General features: G+C 36.9%; 1 long non-coding RNA gene across 1 annotated transcript in view, besides 1 other annotated feature; it reads right to left on the bottom strand.

Moving 5' to 3' along the window:
* Positions 1 to 3,804, bottom strand: part of LINC01122 (long intergenic non-protein coding RNA 1122) — a 543,014-nt gene extending 539,210 nt beyond the window's left edge. Inside the window, exon 1 of the long non-coding RNA NR_033873.1 lies at positions 3,620 to 3,804. This is a non-coding gene — a long non-coding RNA (long intergenic non-protein coding RNA 1122). The remainder of the gene's footprint in view (positions 1 to 3,619) is intronic.
* Positions 1,552 to 3,352: an enhancer, noted in NCBI's record as "VISTA enhancer hs1174". NCBI's record gives its function as "enhancer in: dorsal root ganglion[6/6]" and the evidence as "EXISTENCE:transgenic organism evidence [ECO:0001131][PMID:17130149]".
* Positions 3,805 to 15,440: the final 11,636 nt, after the last annotated feature.

Genomic DNA, 15,440 nt, shown 5'->3' with positions numbered 1-15,440 from the left:
CATGGTGAAACCCCATCTCTACTAAAAATACAAAAAAATTAGCCGGGCGTGGTGGCGGGTGCCCGTAGTCCCAGCTACTTGGGAAGCTGGGGCAGGAGGATGGCATGAATCCATGAGGCGGAGCTTGCAGTGAGCCGAGATCGTGTCACTGCACTCCAGCCTGGGCGACAAAGCGAGACTCCATCTCAAAAAAAAAAAAGAATTTGCCAATGAAAAGAAGGTAGTCATTTCCTAAAGTGTTCTGAACAGTACAATCAAAAGGAAATAATAACAATAAGTTAAAATTCTTCTTATAGCTCTTTTTAAAAGTTGTTTTATCTTACTAATACTGGTCAGAAAATAAAAACCTGTCAGTAAACAGTCACTTTTCAGTACTTTTTTCCCTGGCAGGTACACACATTTAACATCTATGAATTGAGGAAGAAGAATAAAGGAATAATGATAGAACAAGAAAGATAGAAAGACAGAGATTGAAGAATGGTTACAATAACATTTTAATTCAGTTCTTCCTAACTACAATCAAAACAAAAACAAGGAAAATTTGACAGTAGATTCTTATTTTAATGTGGTTTTGACATAGAGCTGGTGATCTCATGGGCAAGTATGGTACATCTAAAACATAATGCCCACATGTAACAGTTTAGTTTGTCTCTCAGATGAATGACAATATTATACAAAACCATGTTTACATTTGGTAGAAAAGTGCCAAAGAGTTTTGCTAAAGGAAGAGAGGAACCTGACTTAAATGTGGAAATCTGACAAAGTGCACCTAACCTGCAGAAACTCAGTTTGATATTTCAGAAAATTTGAAATTTAATATAGCTATTAAGCAATAGGTAAGATTTTCAAGGTAGGGATAAGTGGGAAGAAAATTATTTAATTTCTGTGGCCTTTCCTACCCGGAGCTTCTGTTTTGTTTGTTTTATGGTACATTGTTGTTTTAGTTCACCTCTCATAGCCTCCAATAGTCACCAGGCTTTCCTCTAGACGTTTTGAATGAGTTTTCTGTGTGCAATATTTTATTACAATTTACAAATGTTTTCCTATGTAAAGTCCCACTTTCTCTTAAAGGATTCTGCAAACAGAGAACTTTAGGAAGTCCTATAAAAGTTTGTTGATGGGTGTGGTGGCTTACACCTCTAATCCCAGCACTTTGGGAGGCCGAGGCGGGTGGATCACTTGAGGTCAGCCTGGCCAACATGGTGAAACCCTGTCTCTACTAAAAATACAAAAATTAAGCCGGGTGTGGTGGTGATGTATGCCTGTAATCCCAGCTACTCCAGAGGTTGAGGCAGGAGAATCACTTGAACCTCGAAAGTGGAGGTTGCAGTAAGCTGAGATTGTGCCACTGCACTCCAGCCTGGGCAAGAGTGAGACTCTGCCTCAAAAAAAAATAAATAAAAAGTTTGTCACAGGACAGACAGCCTAGTAAACTTTGCTATTGTAATGCTGCTCCTCTAATAAAGTGGCAACCACATTCTTTGAGAAATGACTGTAGTTCTTCTGTTGTGAATTCAATTACACAAATTATACAGACAAGTTTAACATTCTTTAAATGGAAACAGGGCGTTGAAGCCACAAAACAGCTTTTCACATGGTACACATATAAAACCTAACTCTAAATGCACTTAAGTCCCATTCTCAGTTTCTGCAAACTATCTTTCCCTGGAAAATTCAGGATTCTTTCAGTGGGTATCGCTGGAAACAAAATAATCATAAGGGCTTTTTTATGGTTTGTAAATTTTAAGACAAAAGATGGTAAATAAATCATACATACATTAAGAACGACTACCAGCCTGTAAAGGGGGATGCAGAATCACCTTAGATATATTACCCACAATGCTTTTCAGGACGGCAGCTAATTACCAGCAGAAAGGTCATGCAAAAAATAATGTGATTAGAAGAGGCTGAAGGGAAAAAATAGCCACATATTTGGACATAGACCAAATTCCCTTTTTGCCACTGTAACTGAAAACCATTGCTTCAATATTTAATGAAACGCTTATGCTGCAGCACCTGGTCACATTGTCAGCACTGCCTAACCACTGCCTCCCCCGTGGGTCATTACTGCAACCATCTGAAAGGGGGCAAACTGTTCATCGACGACAATAATGCCAGTCTTTAAGAATCTACAGCTACAAAACAGCAGGAGACAGAGTTACTTTGGCTTTGATCTTGGGAAAAATGGCTGGGGGCAAAATGCTGTTTCCTACCATCAGAGACTATACAGTTAGCAATAATTCTGTAAGTCAAAGCTATTCACAGGACTCAACTTGGCTGCCCTGCTTTGCTTTCTCTCTCCCCTTGCAGAAAGCTAGCAGCTCCTGGTGAGAGATCCTTGTCAACAGGAAAACACTAGTTCACGCTACCCTGCTAATGATCCAATGCATCAATACCTCAAACAATCACAACAAGCAGATGTCCTAAGTTAATATAGACTTCCCTGGGATTTTCCTAGTGAAACATGGCTTTAAAAGGCATTAGTCTTTTGTCCTCACTAGAGAACGGCTAAATCCTGGCACCAATTCCTTGGGTATGTGAACCTCAGCCTAATGGAATTTAATTACTTTAGTGGTATTAATCATCTGTACAGTAGAGCAAAGAGTATTTTATTACCACTTTTAAGGGTTATCGGCACATTTATTTCAAATGAACTGTCAAACTGCATTACGTGTAAGGCATGCCAGTTTTGAATTCTACAGCTCAGGTGAAAACAAATTTACAGTTTAAAACTCTCCTCCACCATCAACATCCCACCCATTCATAGTAGCAGCACACATGTAAGGCTCTCAAAATTAAAAGAAATTAAGTGTTGAATTAGCTATTCATTTTTTACTCTCTGGTTTTATTCCTTATTCCAACCATTTTGACTACTCATTTGCAAAGGTTGCTTTATACCAAGGACCCCAGGAACACCAATTGGCATCAAATAGGCTGTGACACCATTACAGGCTTAGTTACAGAAAAGTGAGGCTAGTCTTGTCCATTATCAGGCAACAAGCACCAGCTCAATAATATAAGATTCCTCCAATTCACACCATGTAGCAACTGCTTTTGTTTTTGTTCATATTCAGGGAAAATGAATGTGTGCTTTTCTCTTCTCTTGGTTGTTTTTAGCCCAATCTGAATTGTTCTATAAAGAACTCTAAGAAACTCTTGCATCATTTATAAAGCTCTCCTCCTGTGCTAAATAGATTCAACAGTGGATTGCAAGATGCCAGACTCAGGTTAATTCTATAGACTTCACTAAACTTTCTGTTTGTCATAAAGCATTTCTACAGAATTTTGGGTAGCCAAGTAGAAGAGTTAGAATCAGAAAAATGCAGGACAAAGTCCTACACACTTGGTGGGAAAGCTCTCTAGGGCTCTGGAATCAGATTGCCTCGGTTTTAATCCCCCTAGAATTACTTATGATCTTCTCAATAAATTCCTTCACCTCCTCAGTTCCCTCATCTGTAAAATGGGAACAGAAGTACAGGTTTATGTTAAGGTTCAAAGACAATGATCCATATACAAATAAAATAATCCTAGCACAATTTCTGAGGTATCATGGGCTCTGTTATATTGTCATTCTGATTGTAAGGAGAATACATGATATTTGAAAAGCCATATAACCCACCTTCTCATATGGTTCAGTGTCGGCGTTGAACAGATTCCATATAAATTGCAGTGACTTCTAAGACATCTTCATTTGTTTCCCTTCCCCAACCCACCCCTCCTCCACTGAAGTCCTTAAAGTCCCCGACCTGTTCCACATCCACCTGTTTAAGGCATTTTCCACTCATCTCATTTCAGAGACATTCTGCAGTGAGAAGCAAATGAGAGCAATTTGTGACATGAGATACCGCATGTGCAAAAGACACATAATTAGTGTCAAAATGGATGCATTTGCTTTTTAAAGTCTATTTGTCCTGTGATTTCAAATGAATCAAGCTGCTATATCTCTCTCAACAGCTTCATACTACTCCATAATGAATTAAATGGCTCCTGTGAAAAAACAGTGTAAGCTTTATGAATAAAATGCTTTTTCAAATGTTGGGATAAGAAGGACTTAAAAAGACTCTTATGTCTAGTACCCCTTAGTTTAAAGATCTTCTCCAAACTCAGAATCTTTGAAAGAAAAGCATTCTCCAAGAAAGAAAAAAAACAAACAAACAAAAAAAAAAACACTTTTTTTCATCTTTCCAAACGTTATAATTACCAGTGAGGGGTAGAAAAAAATCTACAGTATTCAGCAAAGGCAGAATAGGACCCTGAATTTCCCTACCCCTGCTTAGTACTCTGATGTCCTAAACATGCAATCAAGGCCCCAAATTCTTTTCAAAGACATTTCATAAGAGAGGAAAGAAAGTTCCATTCGAAGCTCTAAATGCTTAGATGCTACTATTCATGTGCTCTATTTCTCTCTCTTTCTTTTGTGAATACCTTTGTTTGGTATTTAAATAATATACCCTCTGAGTCCATTCTCTTAACTCTACTTTCAAATAAGCTTGGTTCCTCTAAGCTTCCCAAACCTTGGTCTTTACTAATCTTTTTTGGAAAAAATAAACAAAAAATGTTTGCACCTGAATAACAGTAGTCTCTGGAAAAGGCAGAAAATCACTTAAATGTTTGGAAGACCAAAACTACAAGTGATTAAAGTAGAGAATATTAATGAATAGCTTAATTCAGATTATTTACAAAGTCCAATTTCTAGTAATGAGTAATTTCAATTTCTTGAAATATGAATATTTCAAGAGGAAGTTAAAATTAGTGCTAGGTTTATGGGACTAATCTTTTCCTATTTGAGTATGTAAAAAATAAATAAAGATAAAGAAAGTCCCAGATTCCATGCAGTGTTCCATGAGAGTCACGTTTTTTTCCTCATTGTCACTTGTATTATAAAAAATAATATCATTGTGAATCCTGAAAAATAGACTCATAGTGAAAGGCCTAGAATTGAATCCTCGTTCCTTTTCATTCTTTCAACTATAAACTCTGTTTCTTCATTTCTGAAATGAAGATAATGTTAATCATTTTAAGAAGCACATGAGGATAAATGAGATAAAATTTATATGCCAAGTTAAAGTACATAAATCCAACATTTTATAAAATGACAAGTATATTAAAAGAAAAAGAAAATAATTTCATTTCTTTTCTTAGAGGAAGCCCCAGACTTCACAATAGTGAGCTCAGCCATTATTTCTAGGTAATAGGCACAAAGTTTCCTTGGTAGTGAAAAAGGCTTTTATATAATCTACATGTTCCAGCCTGGAATTCCTTTCTGGTAATATGTATGTTCTCTTTCTATACTGAGAAAACACATAATGCAATTTATTTTGTTAATTAGGAAAAAAGGATGAGAGACCTTATTTTACACTTTTGTGTCACCATAAATGCACATAAACTTACAATAAATGTTACATGTTGATTGGGACCAAGGCCCAGGGTAAATACACAACCTGGAAAAGAATAAGACCACTAGCCTAGAAGTTCTGCTTCCATCACTGATGTTCCCATTCAGATCTTTTAAATCTGCAACGCTTTTCTGACCAATCCAGATAACTAGTTTTAAGTGTATCGTTCCAAACTTCAGCTAATACATTAAGTTGCTAATTATTTTATTATAAATATCAGTCGCCCAATGTCCTTTATTGTGATGTTTTGAAAAAAAAAAGTGACTTCCTGCTTATTAAAACTTATTTGGGAGAAATAAATTATCTTTCTGTGAATTAATCCCCAATTTACTCCTTTTTCCACATTCCTCTGATATTTTCATTCTCTGCTTGACATGTCTTAAGGTGCACTGACTGAAATTAGACTCGGTATTCTGGATGAAAGTATATCATTATTTGATATCACATCAACTTAATATTTCCATATTATTTTCTCCCTTTTTTAATGCACCCTGGAGTCCTATTTGCCTTCCTAACTGCCTCTGTGTGATGAGGAGACTTCATTGGGCTTTCCAAGATGACTTCTAATTCATTTAAACAGCACATACTATTTTAATCATATCTGTTTTCACAGATACCACATATTTTTATGAACTGTTCTTTTGCTAACTTTAGCTTTCTTTTATGTGAAATGTTCTAGATCAGATAAGTAATACAGTATTCAAAGATATAATGATAAAAAGTTATGTTAGCTCAGTGGCAAAAAAATTGATGCTTCAAATATAATGTTAATTATTTCTACAAATATGTGAGAGCTCCATTAAAAGATTTTCATATGAGTGAATATTGAAATATTTAACACTTATGAAAGAGATTTATGTGCCTCTCTTGTTTTTCGAAGTGTCTTTGCCATTTTACTAATTAACCAAAGATATCTGTGTTTAGACACATTTTATATCCATCACAGCCTATGCTCTTTCTACATTACTTTTTCCTGCAGTAAAATTAAAGCATTCAGTTCTACACACTAATCTTCTTCTAGGTAACAGATTGCAATATTTTGAATACAAAAGTATGAGACAGGAAAATGGGACTTTTGGGCTCTCATCCCAGATCTTCCGCCCAATGTGTGCTGTGCTCCTGGATATATACTGCCTTCTCAGTTTGCCTCAGTTAACTTGTTCAGAGAACGGATGTTGCAGTTTTAAGTGTCTTGCAGGACATCACAATTTTCATGTTTTTTTAAAATGTGATTCCTGGTTATTTTCCCCCAGATTGTATTTGAGTATTCCTAATCACATCTCTCTATACTTGGCTAAAATTATGACTGGTGAAAATGTGTCCCATGCCATAGTCTCAGACTTAAGTTTTGTGGCTGAACTCTATTGCTAAACCATTTCTAGTACTTTCTAACGAATTTCAGTTTTCAAAGCGTATTCATTGCTGCAAAATTAAAAGAAGGTATTTTGTTCCCCATACTCATACTTTTCATGATCCCAAAGCCTTTCTTTTCAAATTTTATCCTGTTTTATTTGGAAAGAAGTAACATTTTGTCACTTCTTTAAAGCAACAGTTTAATGACATCCTACTTTTGCCCTGCCAGCATGCGTATCACACACTTTCAGATAAAATGTGTTCAGGACATTGAAAAAAAAAAAAAAAAAAGCTCTATCAGTGGTCTCAGTACAATTCTATTAGTGGTCCCAGTAAAGCATAATTAGTAAAATAAAGATATATGCATATACTTAGATATAATGTATTAGATATAAATTTCTATTACATTATTTTTTCAAATAGTTACTGTGTTCCCTTGAATCACCCGAACTGCATATTAATTTAGTTACTCATTGAAAAATGTGGTGACTCTTTTTTTTTTTTTTTTTTTTGAGATGGAGTTTTGCTCTTGTCGCCCAGGCTGGAGTGGAATGGTGTGATCTCAGCTCACTGCAACCTCTGTCTCCTGGGTTCAAGCAATTCTCCTGCCTCAGCTTCTCAAGTAGCTGGGATTACAAGCTCCCACCACCAAGCCTATCTAATTTTTGTATTTTTAGTAAAGACGAGGTTTCGCCATGTTGGCCAGGCTGGTTTCAAACTCCTAACCTCAGGTGATCCACCTGCCTCGGCCTCCCAAAGTGCTGTGATTACAGGCATGAGCCACCACACCCAGCCTGTGACTCATTTTTATAAAGAGAAATAAAACAGAAAAGAGAGTGGATACAGGGATTGAAACAAGAATAGCACATTGTAGATACCTTATAAATATTGCTGACTCATTCATGTAGTTCATTCTATAGATATTTATGAGTATTTATTATGTACCAAGCACTATATCTTTTAGCTGGGGCTATAACAGTGAACAAAACAGGAAAAATCTCTTCTCTCACAGAGCTTACAAACAAACAAGAAATACGAACTGGCTTCCCTGACTACCCTAGGCACTGGCAGTTTTTGTCGGTCAAAAATAGTCATTATCTACAATTTCATGTGGTTTGTCCTAAATGATATGTCAGATGGTGAGAAGTCACATCAAGAATAATAAAGCTGGTGTAAAAGAGAAAGTGATTATATGTAGGCTATTACTCTTTTAAATTCGGTAGTCAGGGAAGAAAGAACCTTACATAAACAAGCAAGATGATACAGATCTCTCTGGTTAGAGCATTTAAAGATCTGAAGTGGAATTGGGTTTGGTTACTGAGAGCCAGCCTCAGCACCATTGTAGCTACAGCAGGTTGGGCAAGAGGGAAGAGTGGAAGAAGGTGAGGTCAGTGAGGTGGAAGCGGCAAGATCATGGAGGGTCATATGGTGGGTCACGTGGCCACAACAAGGAGTTTGATTTTACTCCAATAAGACTGAAAGTTTTGGGACAGCTTTGAGTATAGAAGTAAAATGATGCAATTTCCTTTTTAATGAGATCATCCTGTTTGCTAGGTTAAGAGTAGCATCTAAGAGGATAGAGAGAAGAGCAAAGGCAGGGAGACAAATTAGAAAGCTCTTACAACAATCCAGACAAAAAAATAAGGGTGGCATAGACCAGATAGGTAGAAGTAAGGCAGTGAGAAGCAGTCATATTTGGGATGTAAACTGGAGCTAGTGCTGCCAGGTCTTACTATGGATTGGGTGTAGGCTGAGAGAAAAAACAGAGTGGAGTGAGTTAAGATCACTGCACAGTGTCTGACCTAAGCAAATGCAAGAATGGAGCTGCCTTTAACTAATGTGTGGAAGATGCAGGTTTGGTGGGCAGGGTAGAAAAATCTGAATTCAGTTTGGAACATGATGAATTAATGGGACTTATTAGGCACTCAAGTGGGGATATCAAATAAACAGATATATAGATTTTGAGTTCAGGGGAGTAGTATAGGATGGGGACATGGGTTTTAGAGCTACCAGCTTTTAAATGGTATATAAACTAATGAATGACACTAGATGGTGTCACCTAGGGAGTGATTACAGATAATGAAGTGATGAAGGCTAAGGACTGAACCTGGAAATAGTTCCATATTAGAATGTCAGGAGGATGAGGATGAAGCAGCAAATGGCTACTGAGAGAGGGATAATCAAGGAAAGAGATGTGTCCTGAAGGCCAAGTGCAAAAAAGTATTTCAGGAAGGAGGGAGCTGATTAACTATGTCAGATATTGTACATGGGCCATGTCAGAAGAAGAATGAGATTTAGCCATTAAATCTAGAAACGCACTGGTGACAGTGACAAGAATTAGCCATTGGATTCAGAAACTCATTGGGCACATTGACAAGAATTAGCCATTAGATTTAGGTGACATTGACAAAAATTGTTTCGATGAAACAGTAGAAATGAACACCTGGCTGGGGTAGTTGCAAGTGACAATATTGGAAGAAAATGACTAGAGACAACTTTTAAAAAAGAGTTTTCTTATAAAAACAAACAAGCAGTATAGTAGGAAGCAGGGCATTTGCAGGTAAGAGAATTTTTTAAAATAATAGATGATATGACAGCATATTTATTTTGCTGATGGGAGTGGCCAGGTAGAGAAGGAACAAGTGCTAGTGCAGGAGAGAGAAAAAATAATTACTGGAAAAAATCTCCTTGAATAGGGGACAGGAAATGGAATCCAGTGTAGGAGCTAGAGGTTGGCCTTTGGAAAGACATGGACAGTTTATCCACAAAAACAGTAGGGGAGGCAGAATGTGAAAATACTCTGCTAAAGGAATATGAGAGTGACTAGACTAAGGTAATATACTGGGATTTCCAGTAGTACTAAGGTTCAGTTGGGGTTAGTGTTAAAGTGGATTGCTGGCATGGTTGTGAGTTTTTCTCTAGAAATACTCAGATGAGCCTGCAGCATTGGAGAGATGATGTAAACAAGGTGGAAATTTGTCTAGGTAAAACGAAGACAGAGAGAGAGAACATGGAACTTAATGATTACAATCATGGACCATGGGATCTAATAGGAGTAATGAGGACATAACGGAGATGATTACAAAAAAAAAAAAAAGTGAAAATGATTCATGGACCTCTTATGGGACAGTTGAGATACTAGAAGGAAGTAGGGAGCTGGCAGGATTAATGGTGGTCAGAGAGCAGTTAGCTTGAAATTGAGATGATAGTAAGGGGTAGAGTTGTTGTTATTAGCAAGTTGTAGCATAACAGCTTTCAGAGTCACCCAGAAAGCTTGCTAAAGGGATTGCATTGCTGGGCTTCACACTACAGAGTTTCAGATTCCAGATTTAGGGCTGAGCCCCCAAATTTGCATTTCTAATAAGTTCTCTGTGATGCTGTGTCTGTCAGTCTGAGGTCTACACTGAGAACCACTGATCTGGGTTGTGAGCATGGGTCAAGGAACTTGGAGGCTGAGGTATTAGAAGATCACCCACATAATGAATACATGAACAGAGCTAAATCAATCCACACAGAGATGTTTATTCAGTCACTAATTGTGAATCCAATATTAAGCTGCTGTGAAGTCTCATACAGAATTAAAAACAAAACAAAACAAATACACACACATGAAATCAAGAAATGCCTTCACTTCTGTGAGACAACATTTTAAAATAATGTCTGTCCCACAGGCAGATGCAGCACATTTATGGGCTAATTTATTCTGTTGCAAATTATAGAATTCCTGGTATGCTTTTTGTCCAGAGCAAAGGAAATGTATTTTTGAAATACAACACATAAGTTAATGTTAAATGTCTAGGAGCTCATTACCTAAAATTTTACTTAACTATTTCCTTAAGTGAATAATATCACCAAATTTATACTTGCAAAAACTTGGATTTTCATGTATGTATTAATGTTGTATGATGAAGTCAGATCAACAAACAACATTCCTCTATGGCAATAATATGGTATTACTATGGTAATACTATCACCATCCAAACAAAAAGCCCTTGACACCAGCTTTGTTACAGAGTATTTTAGTTGTGGTGCCTTCTAACTCAGACCCTCAGTTATCTTTGAGTCACTTACAACCTTTGAAAATCTGATAAAAACCATGGGCTCTTTCTCTACATATTATAATTCTCTACAAATTATATTAATCACATAATTTCAGGGAGTTTAAGGACCCTATGAAGCACAACCATGTTAAGTATCTTCAATCTGATGGGAAAATGACCATAAAACTGCAGCAAAAACACCTTTTGTATCTTTCCTTTGTCCATATCACCCACCATCCTTTCTATGAAAAGTAAACTTCTTTTGTTTAAAAAATCTAATATGTTTTCTAGGCACAAAAATTTTTTTGAATATATCTTTGGTGATCAAAATTAAATCAACAAAAACTGAACTAAACATAAATTTTCTTAGATTCTGGGCACTGTGAGGCATCCAAAGAGATATAAGGTTATGGCTTTACATCTCAAGAGTTTTACAATATGAAAAGAAACATAAAGCAAACACACATGAAATTTACCTGAATATATATGGGTGTGAGTAAGGATTCCAGAAAGCAAAAGGAGAGATGTCACAACACTGATAATAAATCTGTTGTCAAAATAAGAGTTCAAATATTAAGAGCAACAAAGGCATTGGCCCTTCATGTCAGAACAGTGAAAAAAAGAGGCTTTCTGAAAGAATGAGCCTGGAGTCAGGCCTTGTAAAAGGAGGTGAAACAAATGAAATCAACACATAGAAAGGATGTCTCAGAGACAAAGGCTACCTGTTGGTCTGAAATTTGAGATGTTTGCTAAGTTCTCCAACAAGATGCACCACACCTGTCATTGGAGAGTGAAATGGGCCGAACAGTGTACAAGATCTCAGTACAGCAGATGAGCACATTCAAATTAATGCAGAAGCTAAGTACTATAAAGTCTCCTCCAGGAAAGTTGCCTCCCGGGCTCCCTGTCAATGCTTAGGGAATATTCTGCCATCAGCCTTGTTCAAAACACACACTATCATCATCGTTCCCATTATTACATATCTGTGAGGCCTTTACAGTTTCCAAAGATGTTTCCCACGTATGGCCACATTTCTTGCTGTGAATAGTAGTTGTGTGGATCTTTCATTAAGCAATTTCAGGGAGACAAATAAAATAAAGAAAATGAATGTAATTATTTGACCTATGTAAAATCTTGCAGGATTAAAAATAAGTCATTAAGAAGTCACACAGATGGATGTAACTAGCACCAAGAGAATAATGCAGCAAGTACATTTGTTATTGTTTCTTGTAATAGCCATGTTAGGTCGAGTTTCAAGAGTCAAAGAGAAGAAGAATGTAATTTGCCTCTGGATAATTAAAAAGTAAAAAAAGCATCACAACCTTCTGAATTTCACAAATTATTGAAACAAATGCATTTTGCTCTTATGTTTCTTTGACCAAATTCTCCAAATTAAATAATGCTGTCAAAATTAGAAATAAACACAGTATTTCACTATTAAGTTTTCTGGTTAATTCAGGCATAGTACATTGAACATAATCTAATACTTTTTTTCATAATTTGCAACCTTTAAAGGTCTTCTGATCATGCTGATCATCAGTGATCTTCTGGGGCAGCATGAAGACTAATAAGACTGAGTTGAACTTGAATGGACTTCAGTACTAAGGTGAACAAGGCCAGTGCTGAAAAACAAATCCACTTAATTAATGGTTATGGTGAGTTAGGATTTAAGTTATTAGGCTTTTAAATAAAATAACAATTTTAAACTTTGCATTTTAATTATTTTAACTATCCACTTCACCTCCTAGACCTGGCCCCACTAGCCTTAAAACTTTATTTTATGCCTTTATAATATGGTTTTATTAAAAAACTTGAGAAGTTTAGCATGTCTTAGATATATATAATGAAGATCTGACATATTGAGAAAAGCTATCTTTTCTGAATACTCAAAACGTCTATTACTCAGAACTTTTGCAACTTTATAAAGGAAGCATAAAGAAGTCTGGAATAACAGCTAGATCCCCCCCCGAAACATGCTGGAGTCAGGTTCTGGAAAATCCTGAGGCATTTTCTGACTCCTCAAAGGCCAAAATACAATACACTTGGTTTAATTTTTAGAGGAAATTAATCTGGCTATAGTTATTGGAAAATTAATCATCTATAAATTATACATGGAATACACACAGATGAATATTTGGTTTGCACTTTTTTCAATCACTCCAGATAAGAGTTCACTATATTTGTATTCATTCTTCTTATTATTTTAGACACAGGGTCTTGCTCTGCCACTCAGGCTGGAGTGCAATGGCATCGTAACTCACTGCAGCCTCAAACTCCTGGGTTCAAGTGATTCTCCCACCCCAGCCTTCCATGTAGCTGGCACTACAGGCATGCGCCACCACACCCAAATAATAGTTAAAACTGTTTTTTTCTTTTCTTTTTTTATTATACTTTAAGTTCTAGGGTACATGTGCACAACGTGCAGGTTTGTTACATATGTATACATCTGCTGTGTTGCTTTGCTGCACCCACTAACTTGTCATTTACATTAGGTGTTTCTCCTAATGCTATCCCTCCCCCATGCCCCCACCCCACGACAGGCCCTGGTGTGTGATGTTCCCTGCCCTGTGTCCAAGTGTTCTCATTGTTCAATTCCCACCTATGAGAGGATCTCACGATGTTATCCAGGCTGGTCTCCAATTTCTGGCCTTAAAAGATCCCGCCACTTCAGCATCTCAAATTGCTGGAATTACAGGGTGTGAGCCACTGTACCCAGCTCCTCTATTCATAATTTTAATCACTAACACCAAACCCTCCTCTCCACAACTATCTACCATAATGTAGTTGAAAAGATGAGTGAATTGTTCAGTAAAATGTGCTAAGTTTATGATTTGCCATGAAAAACTGTACACACTATCCCGGAAGTAAAAGATCTAAGAAGAAAACCCAAATTAATCCAGGACGAGGAAAAAAGCACAGGGTATATAATTTCACCCAATAGCAAGTATAATCTCCAAACTACATGTAAAATTTTGCTAACTGGATTGAGGCAAAAGATAAGAGAAAAGCAAGAAAAGTTGTGTGTTTTTTTAATGTAGTAAAAAAAATTGGATAACCATATGCTCTGCTCCACTAGGAAAAAATAACAAGATTTAAAATTGTTGTAATAAGGCAGTGGTTAAGAGTACAACTACATTATGTAATTATCATAGTTATACCATTAGCCAATGCGAATTACTACACTTATTAAAGGAACAAAAATGACTCTGTGCTTAGCAGATATAGATAAGTTATAGTAAGGTTTATAGGCTGAGAATAAAATTAAGTCTGTTTTGCAATAAAAATAATGATTTTAAATAGAAAATAATAAATAATGTGAGTGAATATGCAAGTGTAAATAATTAGTTTAACTTTTATAGAGGGCAAGACCTCAGTTTTATTATCAATAGTGTATCATATTTGTGTCAGCTCTGTACAACCATAGCCCTCTTTAGTTAAAGCAAATATTTGGTGTGTCATTATGGCTTTAATGTCTACATAAGCACATTCCTGTTTTTTTTTCTTTTTTGCCTTTTGCACCAATGCAGATAGAACCAAAACAATTTTCAAAATATTTTGAACCAATTGTTATTTTATTTTATGTTTTGACACAGGGTCTCCCTCTGTCACCCAAGCCGGAGTGCAATAGTGCATCTCAGCTCACTGCAAACTTCCGCCTCCTGGGCTCAGGTGATACTCCTGTCTCAGCCTCCCAAGTAGCTGGGACTACAGGCACAAGCCACCACGCCTAATTTTTCTATTTTTTGTAGACATGGGGTTTCACCACGTTGCCCAGCTGATCTCGAACTCCTGAGCTCAAGCGATCCACCAGCTTTGGCCTCCCAAAGTGCTGAGATTACGGACGTGAGTCACTGCACCCAGCCCCAATTATTATAAATAGTCTTTTCTTCAAGCCCAAGTCAAAAGCTTGGGAGATATACTCGACATCTCCCCAGACTGAATCAATTGCTAAGACCTGTGAATTCTATAACCTAAATGCTTTGCAAATCTGTTCATTTCTTTCCCTTTCTACTACCAATATTCCAGTCCAAGTTACCCACATTTATCACCTCAATTCTGTCAACAGGCCTCTAACTGGCCTCTCTTCTTATGTCTTACTCTGAACCAGCCATAGCACTCTAATAGAACCATGTCACTCCTAAACTTCTCACGGCTCCTAAGGATAATTTCCATTATCCTCTCCTTGACCCACAAGCCTGCATAATCTGGCCCCCAACCCACTCCCTAGCTTTGTTTCCAGAGAACTTTGTTATTCCAGTGCTTCCCACCTTTTTCCAGATTCTTCAATGTGCGATTCTGCTCCCTCCCTTAAGGCCTTCCTGCTTCCCCTAAGCAGTTGCATACTCAGCTTAATGGTCACTTCCTCAGAAAGTTCACTTTGATATCTATCAAGGTCAGGTCAATAATTATGTGTACCATATACCAGCCTGCTGTATAATTATCACAATGCTAATTATTTGTTTACATATCTATTATCCTTGCCTTCCCTGCCCTGCATGCACATCCCTCCTAAACACACACACACACACACACACACACAAACACACTCTGCATGAGGGCAGGGACCATGTCAAGTCTTGTTCTCTCCCAGATCTCCAGCCCCAAGAACAATTTATACTATATACAGTTTAAATGTCCACCAAACTATTGT

Source organism: Homo sapiens, chromosome 2 (assembly GCF_000001405.40).
Source record: "Homo sapiens chromosome 2, GRCh38.p14 Primary Assembly".
In the NCBI taxonomy this organism is placed as follows: Eukaryota; Metazoa; Chordata; class Mammalia; order Primates; family Hominidae; genus Homo; species Homo sapiens.
Note: the sequence above shows the minus strand (reverse complement) of the source record. Positions and strands in the feature narration are given on the sequence as shown.